The sequence below is a fragment of the Homo sapiens genome, chromosome 4 (assembly GCF_000001405.40).
Source record: "Homo sapiens chromosome 4, GRCh38.p14 Primary Assembly".
Classification (NCBI taxonomy): Eukaryota; Metazoa; Chordata; class Mammalia; order Primates; family Hominidae; genus Homo; species Homo sapiens.
In genome coordinates, this window is record NC_000004.12 from 89593878 (window position 1) to 89617194 (window position 23317).

Consider the following 23317-nt stretch of genomic DNA (forward strand, 5'->3'; position numbering starts at 1 on the left):
ACACTAAAATGACTGAGGTTGAATTTCAAGACAGCCTGGCCAGGTGAAGTTTTTAATTGAGATTATATGATGAGCTTTCTGAGCACTATGAGTTCATACTCTCTGTGGAACTTCACTCATATGTGTAGCTATCCTTGCAGTTTGACATTCTGAAATGACCCAGGTTCAAACTTAGAAAGTAATCCCAAGCCTTAGGAAACCAGACCTTGACTTGTACCAAGGAAATTGTCAAAATCTCTTGCAGTTTCAGGTATCACTACTAGAGGCTTCTCAAAGAAGAAGCTTCATTCTTTAGGTGGGACTTGGTCTTCTAAACCCCTGATGACTGAACATACACAATACTCACTTTGGTTAGATGAGATAAAATAGAAGTGTTGGCTGATATTTGGGAAGAGTAAAAGAGAAAGAAGAAATAAAAGAGGAAGGTGAGAAAATGTGAATAAGAAACTATATGTATACTTTGAGTTTTAAACTCCACACATAACAGATTCTGTTATCTCCATAACGTCCCTGCCCTCTTGGTGTATTTGTCTTTGCTCCTCCTTACGTCTTTGGAAAGGGTTAGTAGAGGAATTCTGAACTCTCAGGGTTGTAATGCAAAAAGTGTTTCACCCTATCATTTAGTGGACTATGAACAAATGTAACCTGAATTCAGGTATATTGTTTTATTCACTGACATATCTGCAGTACTCAACACATTTCCAGGCATATGGTAAGTACTACAAAAATTCATTGAATGAATCAGTAAGCCATATCTTCTTTCTCCAGGTAGCCGCAATAGGAGGACAAGACTATGAACTAGCACCCTTTGTAAGGGGAGGAATAATTGAAATATGGGGTGGTAAGAAGTAACCTAATACATTTTTCTAAGGCACCAGGGAAATGAGTTCGATGATATGCCTCTCCTCCACTTTTTCTCATAGACTTTGGTGAAAAGTGAGGCTCTCCTGGGTTCCAGCCGTGGTCTTTTCACTTGCTAGCTTTGTGACTCTGAGCTCTCTGGACTTCAGTTTCTTCTGTAATAAAATTGTGAAAATAGTACTCTTGTAAAAATCAGGTAAAATGGTGCCTTTGAATATATATTGTAAGCTAAAAAATATTATGTAGTGCTAATGTGATATTATCACAAATGTAGTGCTTCTCTATCTACCGTTTAAATAAAAGAGCTGATAAAACAAAATCCCTTTACAAGGATCTAAATATCTATTTTTACTGTACTTAGACACACACACAAACACGTACACACCGTTCATATCTCCGAAAACATTAAATTAAATTTTTTTCCATATGGCTCACAACATCTGGTGATTAACAGTTAAATAAAATTAATGAGGCCTTCCATTTTTATTAGTCACATAGTCACCCACTGGTAGCAGTAGCTTTTTAAAAAAGATCTATGTTTTCTAATTCCTTTAAGTTACAAGTTGGCCTGGCTGACCTGACTTTGAACTATGCTCCTTTGTAGACGAGGGAAATGTATTTAACTTGCTATAAAAGAGCTAAACTTGCATCCTTCCCTCCTGTGTTTGCTGTAAATCAGAGGACTGTCTGCTTTGTGTTTACTTCTTTTTATTTCTTTTATGTTTATAATACTAAGTATTCTAATTTTGTGTGGCGTGTGTGTCTGTGTGTGTGTGTTATGTATGACAAGCTTGTTGTACGGTTCATGCTAATGACTTTCTTAGCCGTGGGGCATTTTATTGCGGTAACATCATGCTGAAATTGAGAAATAATTTATACTCCACCATGCCCTGGCAACATCCATTGCTACTAATATGGAAATAGTGTGGAATTGGACATTTTCTTGTGTCATATTGCTTAATAAATTATAAACATTATCCTATCAGATCTAACAGTGGTATATAAATGACAAAATAAATGACCATTTGCAATATCAGGTGACTTATGGTTCACCATGAATATTTATTATGATTTAATATGAATACTGAATATCCAGTATTAAAGGTTGTATATTTCATTACCAGTAAAATTAAAGGTGCTTTGGTGATTTTAACATTTAAAAGTCATAGAGTTTAATAGCCTCACTAGACTGAATCTTCATATTCTGAATGACTGATTTTAAAACTTCATAGGTTTCAAGAGGTGACTAGCAAACTCATTTCAACTGCATGAAACTACAAAGAAAATGAATCCTTAGACACCATCAGACTATTTATCAAAGCAGATGAATAAGAACATTTTCACACTCACTAGTCCAAATGAAATAATTGCTGAATAAATATGTTTTATCTTAATACAGCACTTTAAAATATTATATTGATTATTTTCCCTACTTTTACAATTCTTCCTTCTCCATTTAAATGTTATTTAATGATTACCAGCATCCAATGAGAAAACATTGGCCCTGAGGAGATAAGCAACTTATTCAAGGTTATGTATCTGGGTGGTAGCACTCTGAAATTTAGCTTTCTAGATGCCTTTCATATGCATGCTGTACTTCCATTGCATTGAAAGAAGAAATAGAGTTGTCAATGTTGCAAGTCTCTTAGACCTGGGAATTTGATCAATTTTTAAGTTACTTATATGTGTTCATGAGATGCTTCATATAATCATAATAAACAACTAAAAAGTCCTTACAGCTAAAAAACAACTAAAAATACTTTTTATGTTTAATATTTCCTAAATTCTTAGAACCACTCTATAAAGTAGATATTGATACTCTCATTTTTCTGATGAGGAAAGTTTAACTCAGAGCAGTTTAATAAATTGTTTATATTCAGGCAGCAAGTAAATAGTAGTGCTATGACTCAATCATAGGATCAGATCATTGGTTACAGATGTGGCACTCTACTGCATCATTTTTGCCTTTTAATCCAGTGCCATTAATCCATTTAGTGTTCATATTTACCTTGGGAGACTATAAAAATAATTTGAGTCTCTTGCCATATGTCCTTGATTCTTGAGTTAGACCTGTTGGTCAAGAGTTCTAGGGAATAGAAGTATCTACGGAAGTATAAAAATTCATCCTGGGTTGCGGAGTGTATACTTTGACTGAAGCTGCAGAAAAAGCTGAGGGAATTGCAAGGAAGTGATGCTTGGTGATTGTCCACATTTGCTTTCTTAAATTGTAAAGATGGAATATGGTAGTGAAAAGAGCTGTGTAAGCTACAAATGGCAACTGGGGCTTTTTGCAATGATACAGTTAGGCATAGGAAGGCAGAGGGGGAGGGTGAATGTTAAGATTAACTTGTGGCAGAAATGGGAGTAGAAAATTTATGTTCTGCCTCCTTTAAAAAGAATTTTAAAGAGAAAACAATTCTGCATCTATATTATTGTTCACTGGAATTTGAGTGCCAGAAATTATGGGTTGGGTCATCAGCCAAGGATGAGATGATTTGAGGGCTGGTGTTTCTGCAATCTATCCAGTGGATCACAAGCTACCATAACATTTAGAGGCTTTAAACAAAACGTTTACTTATTTAAAAGTTTCTGTGGGTCAAGAATTCTGCTGCAATTTAATGGGTAGTTCTAGTTCAGGTTCTCCAATGAGGCTGCAGTTGAAATGCTGGCTGGAGCTGCAGTCATATCAAGGCTTGACTAAGGATGGAGGATCTCCAACATGGCTCACTTACATGGTTGTTGGCTGGAGGCCTCAATTTCTTGCTATATGAGCCTTGCCATAGAGCTACATGAGTATTCTCATGACAGGGTAGTTGGTTTCCCCAGCATAGAGATCTAAGAATGATGTCCAGGAAGAGGCTGCAGTGCCTTTTATTACCTGGTTTGAGAAATCAGGCACTGTCACTCCTACTTCATTTGATGCTTTAGAAGCCTGGTCCATACACAAGGGGAGGGGAATTAGGCTTTACTTTTTGAAGGGAAGATGGAAAAGGAATTTGTAGACATATTTTCAACCACTGCAGATAGGTTAGACATCATGAGTGTATGCCATTTAATTCTTACAATTAGAAGGGGCTTCAGATAGCACCATATCCCAAACCCTCATTTGACCTAAACTAAAATTGAGACTGGTGGTATTTCAATGATATCACCAAAACACATTACTTGCTAGTGGCAGAGATATGGCAAGATTCCTAATTTGTCTGGGTAGTGCTCTTTCTTTTTCCAACCAAATATATAAACTTTAAAAAATATATTTTATCTATTCTTTCTATGCATTTGGAATAAAGTGATAGTTGACTAAACTAGTTTTAAGAAGACCTAGGAAAAACTTAATTATAAGTCTCTATGGTTAGATAGCCAGGCTAATGCAGCCAGAATGAGGAGCAACAATACAACATCTCTTCTTCCTAGTTCTATGAAGTGAACAGGCATCCAACAAGGCTGATGGCACAGAAGATGGTCCTAAGACAGACAAGCAAACAAAACTTGCCTTCTCTGTGGAAGCACTTCCTGACTTCGCTTCCCCAACAAGTAAGCCTTACTTCTGTTACAGGACTTTGAACACTTCATATCACCAACTTTTTTACATGTCTGCTTCCTCTACCTTACAGGACCTGGCTATGTCTTATTCATTCTTCTATTCCCAGTATCCTAGTTCATCATATGCACAGTGATAACGTATAACAATGAGAAGATTATTTTATGGAATTACTGAGTGCATCTGTTATTTTAAAAATTGACATAAATCTCACACTTTTTAGTGTGAGGCAAGTTTTTGTTTGTTTGTTATAGGACCATCTATTGTGTAATGAGATATTCTACAACTTTCAGCCAGACTATACATTTTTAAAAGATTTGGGACAAGTTCACATATAGAAATCAAATAATATTTTGTTTATTGACTTTTCTCTCTGTGGCATCTCTTGCTCTGTTGAATGGCGACCACCTGACAATCTATTCTAAGTCCTCTTGTGTACCTGGGAGGAACAAACCTTGTACTGCAGAAGAATATGTCACTACTTTTCACTCCACTAGGTGTCCTCTGTCAGTTATTCTTATCTATTTCCAGTAAGTTTTGCTTGGTTTCCATCCTCTTTATTTCTGATAGATATCACAAGCACATACATTTTAATAATTACATGTAATCACCCTTAAAAAAGTTGGTAAAGGCACAATTTATTTTGAATTAACTGAAAAGGTATAGGCAGGGCATGAGAGATGTTCAAACTTGAAAAGAAGTTTTTGGAATTATTAAAACTTTTTTTTTAATGGCATAGTTTCCCCAGAATAGTATATAATTGCTTTTGCTTTCTCCCCTTTATACCCAGTCTCTTTCCTTCCCATATTTATATATTTCTTTCTCTATAGATATAAAAGAGAAAAAAATGGCTGTTTAAACTGCACTGTATCTATTTCATGTTCTTGGCTTTGAAAACTGTCTTTCATGCTATGTGCTTTTCCAGAAATAGAAATAATTGGATACTGCTGTAAGTTAAAATGAAAAGTACATCTAAGTATTTCATAAGAGCAAAGGATGATTAATGTAGTAAGAAGTGGTTTTTCATGGGCAAGTAATGTGCAGTAAGTACTGCAAAACTTTTCAACAACAAAATACAAAACACAGTACTTTTCAACAACAGAACAACAAAAATGTGAAAAAGTTTTCACATTTGACTAATGGCAATTTTAGTTTACCGTCAAGAGATAAAATCCCCTCTTTTTAAAAGGAATCTCACTTATACACATTTACCATACCCTTACAACCTCATGGGCTATCTTTGACATAAACTATATTATGACTTCCTCTCTTTATTAATATTTCAGCCCTAGGGGCTAATATGAAAAATTTATTTTTATTCAATCTAGAACTTCCTTAACTTTTTTGTTTCTTCATACTTTACATATTTAGAATATTATTTGCTAGGATCTGATCTTCCCACCTGAGAAACTTCTGTGCCAAGTTTTCCTCTTTGCTTCTAGTGCACCAGTCTGCTAATATTTGAAATGTGTTACTTTACATTACAAAAAGAGAAAAGTAAAGCATAACATTGTATTTGTTATTATATCTAAATACTAATAATTTCAGGGGTCATTTCTACATTTGGATTATATTGATATAAGGGCATTAAAATTATAGATATACTGGGATTAAAGATTCAGTGCAGAATAGCACCAAAGATATATTTCACATATACCATTGGTCAAATACACCTACCGTTTAGTTAATAGGTAAAGAATATTAAAGGATTGCTAGTTAGAATGTATAATACTCAGATGACTGTAGAAAAACAAAAGACTTGGACATTTTAAGGAAATTACTATCTAGTTAAGGTGATCTTCCAGGCGTGGTGGCTCACACCTGTAATCCCAGCACTTTGGGAGGCCGAGGCAGGTGGATCACCTGCAGTCAAGAGTTCAAGACCAGTTTGGCCAACATGGTGAAACCCCATCTCTACTAAAAATACAAAAATTAGCTGGGCATGGTGGCAGGTGTCTGTAGTCCCAGCAACTCAGGAGGCTGAGGCACAAGAATTGCTTGAACCTGGGAGGCAGATGTTGCAGTGAGCCGGTATTATGCCACTGCACTCCAGCTTGGGTGACAGAGTGGGACTCCATCTCAAAAAAAAAAAAAAAAAAGGGGATGTATTAAAATAAATGAAGAAGAAAATCTCCCATTAATCAATAAATCAAGAAGATCAAATGTAATACAATATGATCCCGTATCTAGGTCCAACATCACAAAAATACTTCTTGGATGGTGTAGGCCGTCATAAGAAGCCACAGTAGCTGGAGAAAAGACAGAAAGAGGAAAGATAAGAAAGAGATACAGGGAGGAAGAGAGAAAGAGAGAGACAGAGAATAAAGCTCAAGACAATTTAGACAACATTCAAAGGGATACGTTACAATGGGGTATTGGCAGTCATCTTTTTTCTTTCTGGACTACAGAGGTTTGGAGATGAGGGGAGCTGATGTTGAAAGGAACAAAGATCAGTTTTAAGAGGCTAATAAAGAGATTTTTGGAGGAAATTTTGGGGGACTATATATTATTATAAAACTATGTGTGATATTATAGCTAGGGTAGATATGAATATAGTACAGCAGAAGTCGTACTATGCAAGCCACATTGTAGACAATGAAGCCAGAGTTAAGAAGTTGGAGATTCAATCTGACAGATCTGTAACTAGAACAATGGGTTCAAAAACAAACAGAGAAGACAAGTAAATTAATAAGTACTGTAGTCCAGATAATCAGAGTGTGGAGAGTGAGTAAGCCAGAACACAATGCATAGATTGCCGGTAAATAGGTTTAGATTCATCCATTTTTAAAAAATGGTGTGGGAGCATTAAATATGTATATAGTAGATATGGAAAAATGATTCTCATAATAACTGACATTTCTGTTTCACAAGAAAATTATTTTACATTATATGTATATTTTACATAAATTATACATAGTCATTTAAAAAGCTCAAATAGTGCAAAAACAATATGGAGAATTGCCTGAAATCATCCTACCGTTAGAGAAAACCATATTCACCATTTGCTGATTATTTCTGTTAGTGCATGTCTTTACGCAAACACATGTGCCCATGCATACATAATATTATATAATTTATGTCATATGAAATATACTACTTTTGCAAAACTTTAATTTTTCAAGTTTTTTTTCCCTAAACTTTGTTCTTCCTGTTCTCTTTTCTTCTTTTCCTTTTTCCCGTCTCTAGGTTATCTATACCATAAAACTCATGCATATCTTTCCATGTATATCTCCATGCTCACAAAATCATATATATATGAGGTTTTATTTCGCTGTTCATTTTAAAAAACTGAAATTACATAATACAGCCAGCCCTTTATATCCATGGGTTGCACATCTGAGAATTCAACCAACCACAGATATATATTTTTAAAAAAATAACAATACAACAATAAAAATACAATACCACAACTATTTACATAGCTTTTACGTTGTAGTAGGTATTATAAGTAATCTAGAAATGATTTAAAGTATATGGGAGGATGTGCATAGGTTATGTACAAATGATATGCCATTTTATATAAGGGACTTGAGCATCTGTGGATTTTGCAGGGGGTCCTGAAACCAGTTTCCTGCGGAAACTGAGCAATGACTGTATACGTGTTTCTGCAACTTGATATTTTTGTTGAAATTCTTCTAATTGACGTTATGGGGCTCTAGTGCATTCTCTTTTATGGTTGTACAATACCCCATGGTAGGAATGTTCTGCAATCTACTCAACCATTTCCCTACTGAATATTATTCTCTTTGTTTCAGTCTTTCATCATGATAAAATCTGGAATAATCATTCTTACATACATAACTTACTAATGCTTTTATTTCTATGTAATGATTTCCCCAGAGTAGGATTACTGGGTTTGAAGACATGTGCCTTTTAAATTTTTAATAGACACTAGCAGGTGTCTTTCCAAAAAGCATACAATTCACATTTCTACCCTTTTTCCTACATCCCTGTTGGCAGTAGGTATTACTATTGTTTCATTTCTAGCAGTCTTATGGGTAAGCTGTTATTATTTTAATCTGCATTCTCTTAACTACTAGTAGCTGCCTGTTCATATTCTGGTCTATTTTTATTATATATCTGAGTATTAGTATTTAAATAAACATAATTTAATATCCTTTTGTATCATGAGAAATACATGTAATATGTGAAGGAAGATAAAATTGTTAAATATACTCTGTGTAATAACAAGCATCCCATAAACAGTTATGATATCATTTAATGCTAAGGCAATCAGGAAGACAATTCCAGTGCTACTCTACTGGGATCCAGGGAGCATAGATGAGTAACTTTGAGGGAATTCATTCCCTGGTAGAAAGCTGAACTCAAATAACATCTGTTCTATAGGGTATACACAATTTTAAAAATAATAATACGTGTTTGGGTCAGAGAGTTTAAGAGATAGAAGGAAGCAATTTTATGTGTTGAAGGTAAAGGTCATTGGTCCCAGCATACCAACACAAAATATGCAAATCCTGAGAGGGAAAGTGCAAAGGGAGATACACTAACCATTCCAGAGACATGGTTAACATGAAAGTCCATAAGGCAGAAACTAGGGAGAGAATGTACACATTCACATGCAGACAGTGGACATTTGTGCTAGAGGTATCTTTTGAATGCTCCACTCCCCAAGCATCTCTAAGTCTGCTGCAAAGCCAATGCTTTGCAGTATGGCTTCTGACAGTGAAATTTACCATGACCATCTGACTTCTCAACTCCAAGACTAGTAGATTATTTTGTTACCTTTTAGATGGCTATTTGCAAAGGAACTAAATGTTTTTAAGTCAAGTACTAGACTGAATTATTCTTATCAGTTCACATGTTTGACTTGCAACTATTATAGATTAATATATTTGTGTATTTTTAATTAATTCAAAGGTGAATTTTTCAAAAGCAGTTTGGCTGCCTGGCTTCTCCAAAAGTAACAAAATACCTTTCACACACCACAGATGAGAGCACTCGGGATTCCTTAAGCTTTGATAATTCAAATGTGTCTTAAAGGTATTGATTTTATACTCAACATGACAGAATTTTAAGCAAAGAGATTTTTAAAAAGCAATAATAAAAATAAGTTGAGTAGAATATTAAAAAACAAACAAAAAAACCCTTATACTACATGCTTTGACTAAAGTTTGAAAGCATGCCTTCACACACAGATCTCCTCGGCAAGGGTGGAATAAGCAAGACATTAAAAAAATGTTCTGGTTGATCATTGGATGCCTGCCCAAGTTATTTTGACACAAGAGTGCTCCATAGGTTTCAAAATAAAAACAAGAATTTAAGGGAAATAAATGCTAAGCAGAGAACTCAGTGGCTATGGCCATACGCTTCAGGAAATACAAAATCTACAGAATTAGTCCAGGAAAGTCATCAAACAAATAAGCAGCAACAGCAAGAGCAACAATATTAACAACAACAAAATGAGCAAGGAAAACCAGCTATTATCAGAGAGGGATCAGATACTAGAGTTATTGCAATGTTCTAACTGAAATGTCCAGTTTTCAACAAAATTTACAAGACATGAAGAAATAGGAAAGTATGCCACACACAGGGAAAAAGAAAACAGCCAACAGCATATATCCCTGGGGGAGCTCATATGTTGGAGCTAGAAAATGAAGATTTTTTTTTTTTTTTTTTTTTTTTTGAGACGGAGTCTTGCTCTGTCGCCCAGGCTGGAGTGCAGTGGCGCGATCTCGGCTCACTGCAAGCTCTGCCTCCCGGGTTCATGCCATTCTCCTGTCTCAGCCTCCCGAGTAGCTGGGACTACAGGTGCCTGCCACCACGCCCGGCTAATTTTTTATACTTTTAGTTGAGACAGGGTTTCACCGTGTTAACCAGGATGGTCTCGATCTCCTGACCTCAGGTGATCCGCCCACCTCGGCTTCCCAAACTGCTGGGATTACAGGTGTGAGCCACTGCGCCCGGCCAGAAAATGAAGACTTTAAATATGACCCAAGAACTAAAAAACTATGGTTAAATAATCATAAGAAAGTATGGTGACTATGGCTGGGCACGGTGGCTCATGCCTGTAATCCCAGCACTTTGGGAGGCCGAGGCGGGTGGATCACATGAGGTCGGGAGTTTCAGACCAGCCTAACCAACATGGATAAACCCCATCTCTACTAAAACTACAAAATTAGCTGGGCGTGATGGCACATGCCTATAATTCCAGCTACTTGGGAGGCTGAGGCAGGAGAATAGCTTGAACCTGGGAGGCGGAGGTTGCAGTGAGCCGAGATTGTGCCATCACACTCCAACCTGGGCAACAAGAGCAAAACTCCATCTCAAAAAAAAAAAAGAAAGAAAGAAAAGAAAGTATGATGATGACTATGTCCCACAAAATAAGAAATGTCAACTAAGATAGAAAATTTTTCTAATAAAAGAATCAAATAGAAATTGATTCTGGTGTTGAAAGTACAATAACAAATGAAAAATTCACTAGTGGGACTTCACAACAAATTTGACCTGGCAGAAGAAAGAATTGGTGAACTTGAAGAAAGATCAATGGAAATTATCCAGCCTAAGAAACAGAAAGACAATAAAAACAGTAAGAAAATGAAGATTTTCAGAGGTGTGTGCAACACCATTAAGCACATCAACATATGCTTAACAGGAGTCCCAGAAAGAGGGAGGAAAGATAAATGAGAAGAAAACTATATGAAGAAATGAAGGCTGAAAACTTCCCAAATTTGATGAAAACATTAATCTAGACATCCAAGATACTTAATAACCTCTAAATAGAATAACATTAAGAAAACCACACCAAGAAACATCACAGTCAAATTAATGATTACTAACAAAGAGAGAATCTCGCGAGCAGCAAGAGAAAAAGAACTTACATCATACAACGGACTTTCCATAAAATTAACAGGTGACTTATTAGAAACCACTGAAGCCAAAGGACAGTGGGATGACACCTTCAAACTGTTGAAAGAAAAAGACTTTCAGCCAAGAATTCTACATCCAGCAAAACTCTCCTTCAGAAATGAAAAAGAAACTAAGACATTCTCAGTCTTAGAAAATTAGAGAGAATTGGGCGGGCGCGATGGCTCATACCTGTAATCCCAGCACTTTGGGAAGCCAAGGCAGGTGGATCACAAGGTCAGGAGTTCAAGACCAGCCTGACCAACATAGTGAAACCCCACCTCTACTAAAAATACAAAAAAAATTAGCCAGACTTGGTGGCGTGTGCCTGTAATCAATCCCAGCTACTTGGGAGGCTGAGGTAGGGGAATTGCTTGAATCAGGAAGGTGGAGATTGCAGTGAGCCAAGATCACACTACTGCACTGCAGCCTGCGCAACAGAGCAAGACTCCATCTCAAAAAAAAAAAAAAAAAAAAAAAAAATTAGAGAGAATTTGTCACTAGTAGATTGGTGCCTTGAAAAATGCTAAATAGTAGTTCTAAACAGGATTCTTTAGACTGAAAAAAAGGATAGTAGATGGTAATTTGAATCAACATGAAGAAAAAAGGGAGCACTGGTAAAGGTAAATGCATAGGAAATATAAAAAACTATAAATATATTTTTGTTTGTATTTTTTTTATTTAAGAGCAACTGCATAAAGGAATAATTATAAAATTATGTTGATGGATTTAGTAAGTATAAATAGTGCATATGACAATAATAGCGCAAAGAATGTGGGAGGCTATGGAAGTATACTGGAACAAAGTTTCTGGAAATGATTGAAATCAAGCTGGTCTTAAACCAAACTAGATTATTTTAAGTTAAGATGTTAATTGCACTCTTGAAGACAACTACTATTGCCATTGCATTCATGGATCAAAGGACCAAAGGGCAGAAGTAAGGATGGCAGTGATTAAAATTACTTCACTTGCAAAACATATTATTCCCAATCTGAAGTGGGCTGTGCTAATTTAGTAAGTACCAGTTATTGGTCATATGTCATTTTTCAGGTTACTTAAACTGTCTTTGCATTGAGTATCTCAACTTTGAAATAACAATAGTAATTGTCATCATCATCATTATCATCATCATACATTCCTTATGTTGTTATGAAATAACAACAAATTATTATTATTTTGGAAATGTATATATGGGAAGAAGAGTGGATGGGTATATAAAAGTATGGAGTACATCAGATGTTTTTTCCTGCCTTCTCTACAGCCACTTCATCTCTTTAACAGCACTCTGAAGTCCTTCTAAAGAGTTACTTCTTTCCCACTGAATAGAGTCTGCTGGGACAATCAGGTACTCTTCACTCCCCTAGGCTATTGGATGCTCCTGCCCTGGAATTCAAAACTTGAGAAAAGGGTAGAGATCAAAAATAGTTGGAGTTTATTTCTTCCAAGAGCAGTACCTAATCTGTTACTGCTGTGACCACTCCTGTAGTTCCTGCTTCCTGATCCTCTGGAGCTGCTTTAGTTCTAGTCCTCCTGCCTTTCTGCTGACTCTGTGGTTCCTAATACTCTCCCAGTAAATTCCAATTGACTAATGTTAACCCAAGTTGGTTTCTGTTCTTTGCAAAGAAGAAAAAACCAAAAGCAATAACCATACTGCACTGAGTTCTACAGAAACAGATGCTGAGATGGAGTTTGAACATCAAGGCATTTATTAGGGATAAATATCTGTAAAAGGGAAGGGGAGTAAGAAGAATTGGGCAGAGGGAAAGTCAAACCAGGATGCAGGCCGGTCAACCCCATGGGGAACTCTGTTACACATAATGCCTGTCAAGTTGTTTTTGGTTGACTGAAACAGTCAGACCTTTATGCTATCTCTTGGTTAGTCACTGGATATGAAGAGCTCCAAGACTAATGAATGTGCCCATGTGGGAGGTGGCTTTTGGGAACTCCTGAAGGAGCTGATAGCTGGAGGTCATCTGATGAAAACTGGGACAATGAGTTCTTCCTTGTAGAGGAATCTGATTGGCACATCTCTGGGCCCACCAGTCTACATCTTGCACCATTCAGATTCAATTATTTATTTCTAATCTTTCTAGAGTTCTGGTTGGCCTCTCTTCTTGGGGGAAACTGGGAAGAGAAAAGTTAAACTATAGCTCTTACTATAAACTATAGCTCTTATAGGGGTATAGCTCTTATAGGGCTATAGCTCTTTATAGGGTTAAACTATAGCTCTTACTACTGTAGGTGATCTTGGAGGCACAACTGGCAATCATTACTTTTCTTTAACATTCTTCATTTTAAACTCCTCTCATCCTCAGCTACCACCTCTGCTGGTCTTGATGGCAGTGCCTTATCTTGATATCCTGGCTTACCATGCCAAAGGGGTCTGAGCCTCTTTCTGATCACCATGGCATTTTGGGGTCAGGATTGCCATACTTATCCATTTACTATCATAACTTGGCAAGGCAGTACCAAGAGGCACCTAAGTGGATCTGAGTGTCACCTGAATTTCTCCCTGCCAGCATTGTGTAACAGTAGCTTGAACTCCTCCTGACAATCATGGTCAATTACCACTGACAAGTGGTGACTCTTTTCCTCGTCTTCTCATTCTTGGACACAAGGAGGTCAAAACACCAAGGCAGCAGCCATTCCTTATTATTTACTGGGACTCTTGCTATGGCCAATGGAGAAACCATGCTCACGTTGGGCACTAGGACCACGAACTTTGTAGATCCCAAAGTCATGGGAATGGGAACCAGAAAATCTCCCAGAGGGATGGGATTTGAGGAAGTACAATGATGTATTTTCCATTTCCATCTTCATGTGTTTGATATAAACTACCAATGCAAGGGAATAAAAATGCAAGATTATACTCATATCCACATTATGCTTGTTTTCATATTCACATAGGAAATTGTTGTGCACCTGTTTTTATTGCTTAACTTGAAATAACTAATTAAAAATGCACAGTGTTGGTCATGAGGATAAGGGAAAGATTAGGGTAGAAAAAATTGGGATTTTGAGTGCTCTGTTTTTACATTTTATACATATTTTGGGTATACAAAATAAAATCCAACTCCCTTGTCCCTTTGTAACACATATGCACATATTTGTTTATGGAAAACAGTCTGTAAATTTATTAAATTTGCATTTTTATTTGGTAGGTCAGGAGGTTGCTGAAAATAGTATGTATGCATCCATTACACAGACAGAAAGGAAAAAGAAAGTTAAGAATATGTAAAACATTAATGCTAAGCACAATGACCGTTGTACCTACTATATTTATTTCTAACCTAATCTCACCAGGAGGTCTTCAGGGAAGGCATTTTTAATAGTAATTTTGCTGATGAAGAAATTGGTGCTCAGAGAAAGAGAAGGTGGGTAACTTGACTAAGGTCATGTGATTTGCAAGTGTAAATAGATATTAAAATGGGACTTATTCCATCTCAGGTAGGCCACAAATAACATATGTTAGATATGCTAAGAGATTGTAAAATGGGTTCTTGAAGCAATATCTCATACAAGAATGGCACCCAACCAGTTGAGAAAGAAGGTTCTCTTGAAAAGAGTAAATGATGGGAGTAGGGAGGGCATTTTCCCTCACCTTAAGCCAGGGTAGGGCCCTAACCAGGAGGTGCAAAGTGGAATAGCATCCCCGGGACTGAGGAGAAGTCATTATCAGTGAGCCAAAGAATACTGCCATAAAAATTGCAACGTTTCAATGCCAGATGGCAACACGTAAAACAGACATGAATTCTTTCTTCATTTGGGATAACAACTGAGGAGTGGGAAATGGCAAATAATACACAATGCTAGAGCTGGCAGGATAAAGAAAGTTCTTCCTCTAGGACCAGGCCCTACTCTCCCACTCTGGCTTCTCAGCCTGAAGGAGCATGAAACTTGGGGAACAGATAACTCTAAGTGGATTAAGGGTTTGGTGTTACCAGCAGTTAGTTAGGCCAAACTAGAGGTTAAAGAGATTGAGGTTATGGTCTTCCAGGTGGCCAAGTCCACCTAAGACCATTGACAGTAACTGTGAAGAGTTTACCAAACTACAAAGTCAGACAGAATAATACCCACAAGACTGCCTTCGTTTCAGACACCAGCTGCAAATTCAAGGGTCCCTGGGGCCACCCTTGCTTCTAACCAGCTGGTTATAAATCCAATAATGTCCACGGGCTCCCTCAGGTTTGATAATTCAGTAGAATGACTCACAGAACTCAGGAAAGTGCTATACCTATAATTACAGTTTTATTACAACAGAAGGATACAAATTAGAATCAGCCGAAGGAAGAGATGCCAAGTGCTGACTCTGGGACTGGTATGGTTCCAACCTTGAAGCTCCCAGCATCATTGATGTGTGCCAACCAAGAAAGCTCAACTGGACACAGACCCCCTGAAGGAAGCAGACTGCTCCTGCAGGACTCAGGAGGCCCACCCCGCCGACCCAAAACTGTGCATGCCCCAACTGCAGAAGTGGGAAAGGGAGACCCTCCTCTCCTGAACACACACCCCCCACTGGAGAAGCTGAAGGTCTGTTTGCAGGAGAAGTTTCTGAATTTATGTGGAGCTGGGTCAATTTGGAGAGCTGAGTGAAATACAGGGGTAGAGGAAGCAGCAGAAAGGCTCTGGAAGCTCACTGTGTCCCCTAGCAGCCCATTCCTGCCTGGCACCACAGGGATCCATTGAGTGAGTGACCAGAGGAGAAAGGGCCAAAACTCCATAGGGAGAAGGAAATCTCTAGCTGAACTTTGTAACAATTTGAATAGGGTGAGAAGCCTCCTGGCCAGAACTGGGAGGAGGGTGCAAATCAGGTGTGCAGACTCCACCGTGGGGAAAGAACTAAGCCCTTTTCTTTCCCAGCTGGGAGGCAGGTAGCCTGGGGCAGGTTTTCAAGCCCATATTGCTCTCCACCTGGAAACGGTCTGGGGGCGGTTGTTAGGGGCACGGTGGAAGTGAGACCAGCCCTTCGGTTTATGTGGGAGCTGGGTGAGGCATGTGACTGCCAGCTTTCCCCCAACTTCCCTGACAACCTGCATGACTCAGCAGATGCAGCCATAATCCTCCTAGGTACACAACTCCAGTGACCTGGGAATCTCACCCCCATGCCCCACAGCAGCTGCAGCAAGACCAGCCCAAGGAGAGTCTGAGCTCAGACAAACATAGCCCACCCCCACCTGATAGTTCTTCGCTACCCACCCTGGTAGCGGAAGACAAAAGGCATAAAATCTTGGGAGTTTTAGGGCCCCGCCCACCACTGGTTTCTCCCCATAATACCACAGCTGATGCTCTGTGGAAAGTGCCACCTCCTGGCAGGAGGCCAAACAGCACAAAAATAGGACATTAAACCACCAAAGCTAAGAACCCTCACGATGGAGTCCATTGCAGCCCCCACCACCTCCAATGGAACAGGTGCTGGTATCCATGGCTGAGAGACCCATGGACTATTCATATCACAGGACTCTGTGCATACAACCCCCAGTACCAGCCCAGAGGAGGGTAGACTTACTGGGTGGCTAGACCCAGAAGAGAGACAACAATCACTGCACTTTGGCTCACAGGAAACCACATCCATAGGAAAAGGCAGAGAGTAATACATCAAGGGAACACCCTGTGAGACAAGAGAATCTGAACAACAGCTTTCAGCCCTAGACCTTCCCTCTGACAGAGGCTACCCAAATGAGAAGGAACCAGAAAATCAACCCTGGTAATATGACAAAACAAGGCTCTTCAACACCCCCAAAATATCACACTAGTTCACCAGCAATGGATTCAAACCAAAAAGAATCCCTGATTTACCTGAAAAAGAATTCAGGAAGTTAGTTATTAAGCTAATCAGGGAGGGACCAGAGAAAGGCAAAGCCCAATGCAAGGAAATCTAAAATATGATACAAGAAGTCAAGGGAGAAATATTCAAGGAAATAGATAGCTTAAAGGAAAAACAAAAATTCAGAAATCTTTGGACACACTTTTAGAAATGCAAAATGCTCTGGAAAGTCTCAGCAATAGAACTGAACAAGTAGAAGAAAGAAATTTAGAGCTTGAAGACAAGGTCTTTGAATTAACACAATCCAACAAAGACAAAGAAAAAAGAATAAGAAAATATGAACAAAGCCTTGAAGAAGTCTGGTATTATGTTAAATGACCAAAGCTAAGAATAATCGGTGTTAATGAGGAAGAAGAGAACTCTAAAAGCTTGGAAAACATATTTGGGGGAATAATCGAGGAAGACTTCCCCAGCCTTGCTAGAGACCTAGACATCCAAATGAAAGAAGCACAAAGAACACCTGAGAAATTCATCACAAAAATATCTTTGCCTAGACACATTGTCATCAGGTTATCCAAAAGAATCTTAAGAGCTGTGAGACAGAAGCACCATAAACTATAAAGGAAAACCTATCAGATAAACAGCAGATTTCTCAGCAGAAACCCCACAAACTAGAAGGGAGTGGGGCCCTATCTTCAGCTTCTTCAAACAGAACAATTATCAGCCAAGAATTTTGTATCCAGCGAAACTAAGCATCATATATGAAGGAAAGATACAGTCTTTTCCAGACAAACAAATGCTGAGAGAATTCGCCATTACTGAGCCACCACTACAAGAACTGTTAAAAAGAGCTCTAAATCTTGAAACAAATCCTAGAAGCACATCAAAATGGAACCTATTTAAAGCATAAATCACACAGGACCTATAAAACAAAAATACAAGTTAAAAATCAAAAACAAAAAAAAACCAATGTACACAGGCAACAAAAAGCATGATGAAAGCAACAGTACCTCACATCTCAAAACTAACATTGAATGTAAATGGCCTAAATGCACCACTTAAAAGATACAGAACTGCAGAATGGATAAGCACTCACTAGCCAACTACCTGCTGCCTTCAGGAGAGTCACCTAGCACATAAGGACTCACATAAACTTAAAGTCAGGGGATGGAAAAAGGTATTTCATGCAAATGGACAACAAAAGTCATCAGGGGTAGCTTTTCTTATATCAGACAAAACAAACTCTAAAGCAACAGCAGTTAAAAGAGACAAAGAGGGTCATTATATAATGGTGACAGGCCTTGTCCAACAGGAAAATATCACAATTCTAAAATATATGCACCTAACACTGGAGCTCTCAAACTCATAACACAATTACTAATAGACCTAAGAAATGAGATGGACAGCAACACAATAATAGTGAGGGACTTCAGTACTCCACTGCCAGCACTAGACAGGTCATCAACACAGAAAATCAACAAAGAAACAATGGATTTAAACTATACCTTGGAACAAATGGACTTAACAGATACATACAGAACATTTCATCCAACTGCTGCAGAATACACATTCTATTCAACAACACATGGAACTTTCTCCAAGGCAGACCATATGATAGGCCATAAAACAAGCCTCAATAAATTTCAGAAAATTGAAATTATATCAAGCACTCTCTCAGACTACAGTGGAATAAAACTGGAAATCAACTCCAAAAGGAATCTTCAAAATCATGCAAATACATGGAAATTAAATAACCTGCTCCTAAATAAGCATTGGGTCAAAAATGAAATCAAGATGGAAATTAAAAAGCTCTTCAAACTGAACAGTAATAATGACACAACCTATCAAAACCTTTTAGATACAGCAAAGGCAGTGTTAAGAGGAAAGTTCATAGCCCTAACTGCCTACAACGAAAAGACTGAAAGAGCACAAACTGACATTCTAAGGTCACACCTCAAGGAACTAGAGAGACATGAACAAACCAAACCCAAACCCAGAAGAAGAAAGGAAATAACCAAGATCAGAGCAGAACTAAATGAAATTGAAACAAAAAAAATTACAAAAGATAAATGAAACAAAAAACTGGTTCTTTGAAAAGATAAATAAAATTGATAGATCATTGACAAGATTAACCAAGAGAAGAAGAGATAAAAATCCAAATAACCTCATTAAGAAACAAAACAGGAGATATTACAACTGACACCACTGAAATACAAAAGATCATTCAAGGCTACTATGAACACCTTTACACACATAAACTAGAAAACCTAGAAGAGATGTATAAGTTCCTGGAAAAATACAACCCTCCTAGCATAAATCAGGAAGAATTAGATACCCTGAACAGACCAATAACAAGCAATGAAATTGAAATGGTAATTTTTAAATCACCAACAAAAAATTATTCAGGACCAGATGGATTCACAGCAGAATTCTACCAGACATTCAAAGAAGAATTGGTACCAATCCTTTTGACACTATTCCATAAGACAGAGAAAGAAGAAACCCTCCCTAATTCATTCTATGAAGCCAGCATCACCCTGATACCAAAACCAGGAAAGGACATAACCAAAAAAGAAAACTGCAGACTGATATCTTTGTTGAACACAGATGCCAAAATCCTTAGCAAAATACAGTGTGGAGATTCCTTAAAGAACTAAAGTAGAACTACCACTTGCTCCAGCAATCCCACTACTGGGTATCTGCCTGGAGGAAAATAAGTCATTATTCGAAAAAGATACCTTCACATGCATGTTTATAGTAGCGCAATTCACAACTGCAAAATTGTGGAACCAACCCAAATGCCCATCAATCAATAAGTGGACAAAGAAACTGTGGTGTATATATACAATGGAATACTATGCAGCCACTAAAAGGAATGAATTAACAGCATTTGCAGTGACCTGGATGAGACTGGAGACTATTATTTTAAGTGAAGTAACTCAGGAATGGAAAACCAAACATTGTATGTTCTCACCGATATGCAGGAGCTAAGCTCTGAGGACACAAAGGCATAAGAATGATGGAATGGACTTTGGAGACTTTGGGGGAAGAATGGGAGGGGGGTGAGGGATAGAAGACTACAAATATGGTGCAGTGTATACTGCTCGGGTGATGGGTGCACCAAAATCTCACAATCACCGCTAAAGAACTTACTCCTGTAACCAAATAACACTTGTACCCCAATAGCTTATGGAAAAAAAAAAAAAAGAAAGCTCAACTGACTTTGGTGTCTAGAGATTTTATCGAGTTTTCCTTATGTAAGGAGGATTGATGAAATCATGGCCTATGGCCCATGGCCCACATGGTTGAACTGCATCTCTAGCCTCCTCCCTCCAGAAGTCACACTTATATTGCCTGGTTCTATGTTCCAACCATCTAATCACATGGTTGTCTTTCTGGCATGGCCAGCCTTCATTTTAAGACTGTGGTTGTGGCCAGCTTCACCCTGAGTTATCTACTTAGCATAAACTATCAGGTGTGATCCAGGGCCTCACCATGAATAACAAAGACTTTCCTATCACTTGAAAAATTCCAAGGGTTTACAGATTACCTCTCAGGAAGGAGCTGGAGCTATGGCAAAGGTTAGATTTCTCTTTGGGTAAGATTAATCTTTCACTACATAGATATTATCCTTCTTTTAAGAGGTGGCACCTTCATGTTGAAATGTCATTCTTCATGTGAAATGTGACTAAAAGTGATTAAGAAATTCAAAGACAGGGAAAGAACTAGCCCAGTGAGAGGATTTGAAGGGTCAGTGGGAGAATGGATGGTTGCTTTTGATTATGTCCTCTTGAGTTCACTTCTTCATTACACCTGCTGTTTAAGAAAGGGAAGCATATTTTGAACCTGAGTTTGTACATTAAAGTCTAAAATCCAAACTCCTTTCATTATGCCATGTGGTGATATTTTATTTTTCTACAGAAATAAAGTTATAGTTTTAGATTCAGTAATGCATACAATTCCTTGTGCTTCATTTTTCTTATTCAGAATATAAAATGTTTATGAATACATTCGAAATGTTTCATTGTGTGGTTTTGTTTTTGTTTTTGTTTTTTCGAGACAGGGTCTTCCTAGAGTGCAGTGATGTGATCTTGGCTTACTGCAGCCTACATCTCCAGGCTCAAGTGATCCTCCCACCTCAGCTTCTCCAGGAGCTGGGACTACAGGCATGCACCACCACGCCAGGCTAATTTTTATTTTTTTATTTTTTGTAGGGATGGGGTTTTGCTGTGTTGCCCAGGCTGGTCTCTAACTCCTGGGCTCAAGTGATCCACCCGCCTCAGCCTTCCAAAGTTCTGGGATTACAGGCATGAGCCACAGTGCCGGCATGTGTAATTATTAACTGATTACAGGACACTACTGTTGTGCAAACTTCATAAATAATTCATAGGAGTTTCTTATGTTAAAAATAGAAAGACTAAATTAGCAATATGCCTCAATATAAACTACTTTAAAAGTCATTTTATGAAAATAAATTTAAAGAGAGAATAGTGTTAATACTGCAAGATAGACACAACCCTGTTTATATCGCTACATAGTCTGAATATCATCATTAGTGTAAATAAAAGTTGACTAGGTCAGAAAGCCAATTTGCAAGACAGATCTAATAAGCTGTAAGTTAGTAAACGCACCTCATCATGTAAAAAAAATCATAGACAATAGCCATGTGAGAAGTACACATTGTCTTCATGTGAGCAAAAGGAGTTGATAATGAAAAAGATTGCTTTCATTCGACATGTTCATATTTTGTTTTAGGAAAACATATGAGATATTAATTTTAATTAATGTGGGATAATTTGAAAACAATTTTTCAATTCAATTTAATAAGTAATTACTAAATGTTATGCCTTCTTCCTTTGATAAACTGTCAATATTTCAAAGTAGAAGTTGTTATAAGTATGAATTTCATATTATAAAAAACAATGGAGTAGAATTCTCTATAGGTCTTTTTTTCCATTGTAGTATTTAATTTTTTTAATTGACACATAATAATTGTATGTATTTATGGGGTACATAGGGATGTTGTGATACATATATAGTGATCAGATAAGGGTAATTAGCATATCCATAATCTCAAACATTTTAAATTTGTGTTAGAAACATTCAGTATCCTCCTTCTAGGTAATTGAAACTATATATTATTGTTAACTATAGTCATCCTATAGTGCTATAAAAAACTAGAACTTACTTCTCCCATCTAGCTATAATTTTGTACCCTTTACCACATCTTTCCCTGTCTTCCCCTTCCCCCGGCTCTTCCCAGTCTCTAGTGTCCTCTGTTCTAATTTTTACTTCTAAGAGATCAGCTTTTCTTAGCTTCCATATATGAGTGAGAACTTACAGTGTTTAACTTTCGGTCCCCGGCTTATTTCACTTAACATGATGTCCTCCAGTTCCATCCATGTTGCTGCATATGACAGGATTTCTTTCTTTTTTTTTTTATGTCTAAATAGTATTTCATTGTGTATGTATACCACATTTTCTTTTTCATTCATCTGTTGTTGGGCACCTAGGTTAAATCCTTATCTTGGCTATTGTGAATAGTGCTGCAATAAACATAGGGGTGCAGATGTCTCTGTAATATGATTTCCTTTATTTTGGATAAATGCCCAGTGGCGAGATTGCTGAATTCTTAGAAAAGTCTTGTGTTGACTTGCCCATGAATGGGACAGCAGGTGGCAAGGCTATACCTTTAACTGACCCATGAAGAATGTTTATTCTAAGGAAAACCCGGAGGTTGATTTTAATCTGTCTTACTGCAGTATTCCACCTGCAGCTTCCTTTCCACATCTCCTCTAGCCATGTCCTCTGCTTTTGCTTCAAGTCCAGTGGTTTCAGGCTGTCCCTAAGCCCAAGGATCTCTCTCTTTTGAATGTCCCTGTTCAGGGGCCACCATTCTGAGGATACTTCCTGTCTGTGTTCCTTCTTTAAGATATTTGCCTGTTTTCAGTGCATTGGGCTCTGAGAATTAGGCTTATTGGTACAAATTGGTGAAAGTGCTTATCCATTCCAGGTACCTGTTTGAATTTTAGCAAAGACAGTATTAGAGTGAGTCTAAATGCAGGAAGCTTCAGGTACGGGAGCAGAATTCTTACATAAAGCAGAATTACCTTTTCTACTTGGAACTTACTTATTTCCTACTCATCTGAGTAGCTTTGTGAGGCAGAGTTTAAAAGGTTGGCTGTTGTCTGAGTTTACAGCTTCATCTCTTATTAGCTATGTGACCTCATGAAAATTATTTAAGCTTGTTATGCTTAATAAGGTTACCTATATCATAGGTTTGTGGT

General features: G+C 37.7%; 1 long non-coding RNA gene across 4 annotated transcripts in view; it reads left to right on the plus strand.

The window, feature by feature from the left end:
- The window catches only part of LOC105377329 (uncharacterized), a 94057-nt gene that overhangs the window by 42488 nt on the left and 28252 nt on the right, over positions 1-23317 (plus strand). Inside the window, exon 3 of one of the 4 annotated variants that reach the window (XR_007058471.1) lies at positions 924-1064. The exons of the other annotated variants lie outside the window; for them this stretch is intronic. This is a non-coding gene — a long non-coding RNA (uncharacterized LOC105377329). Of the gene's footprint in view, positions 1-923; positions 1065-23317 lie in introns of those variants that run through there. 4 annotated transcript variants of the gene reach the window in all.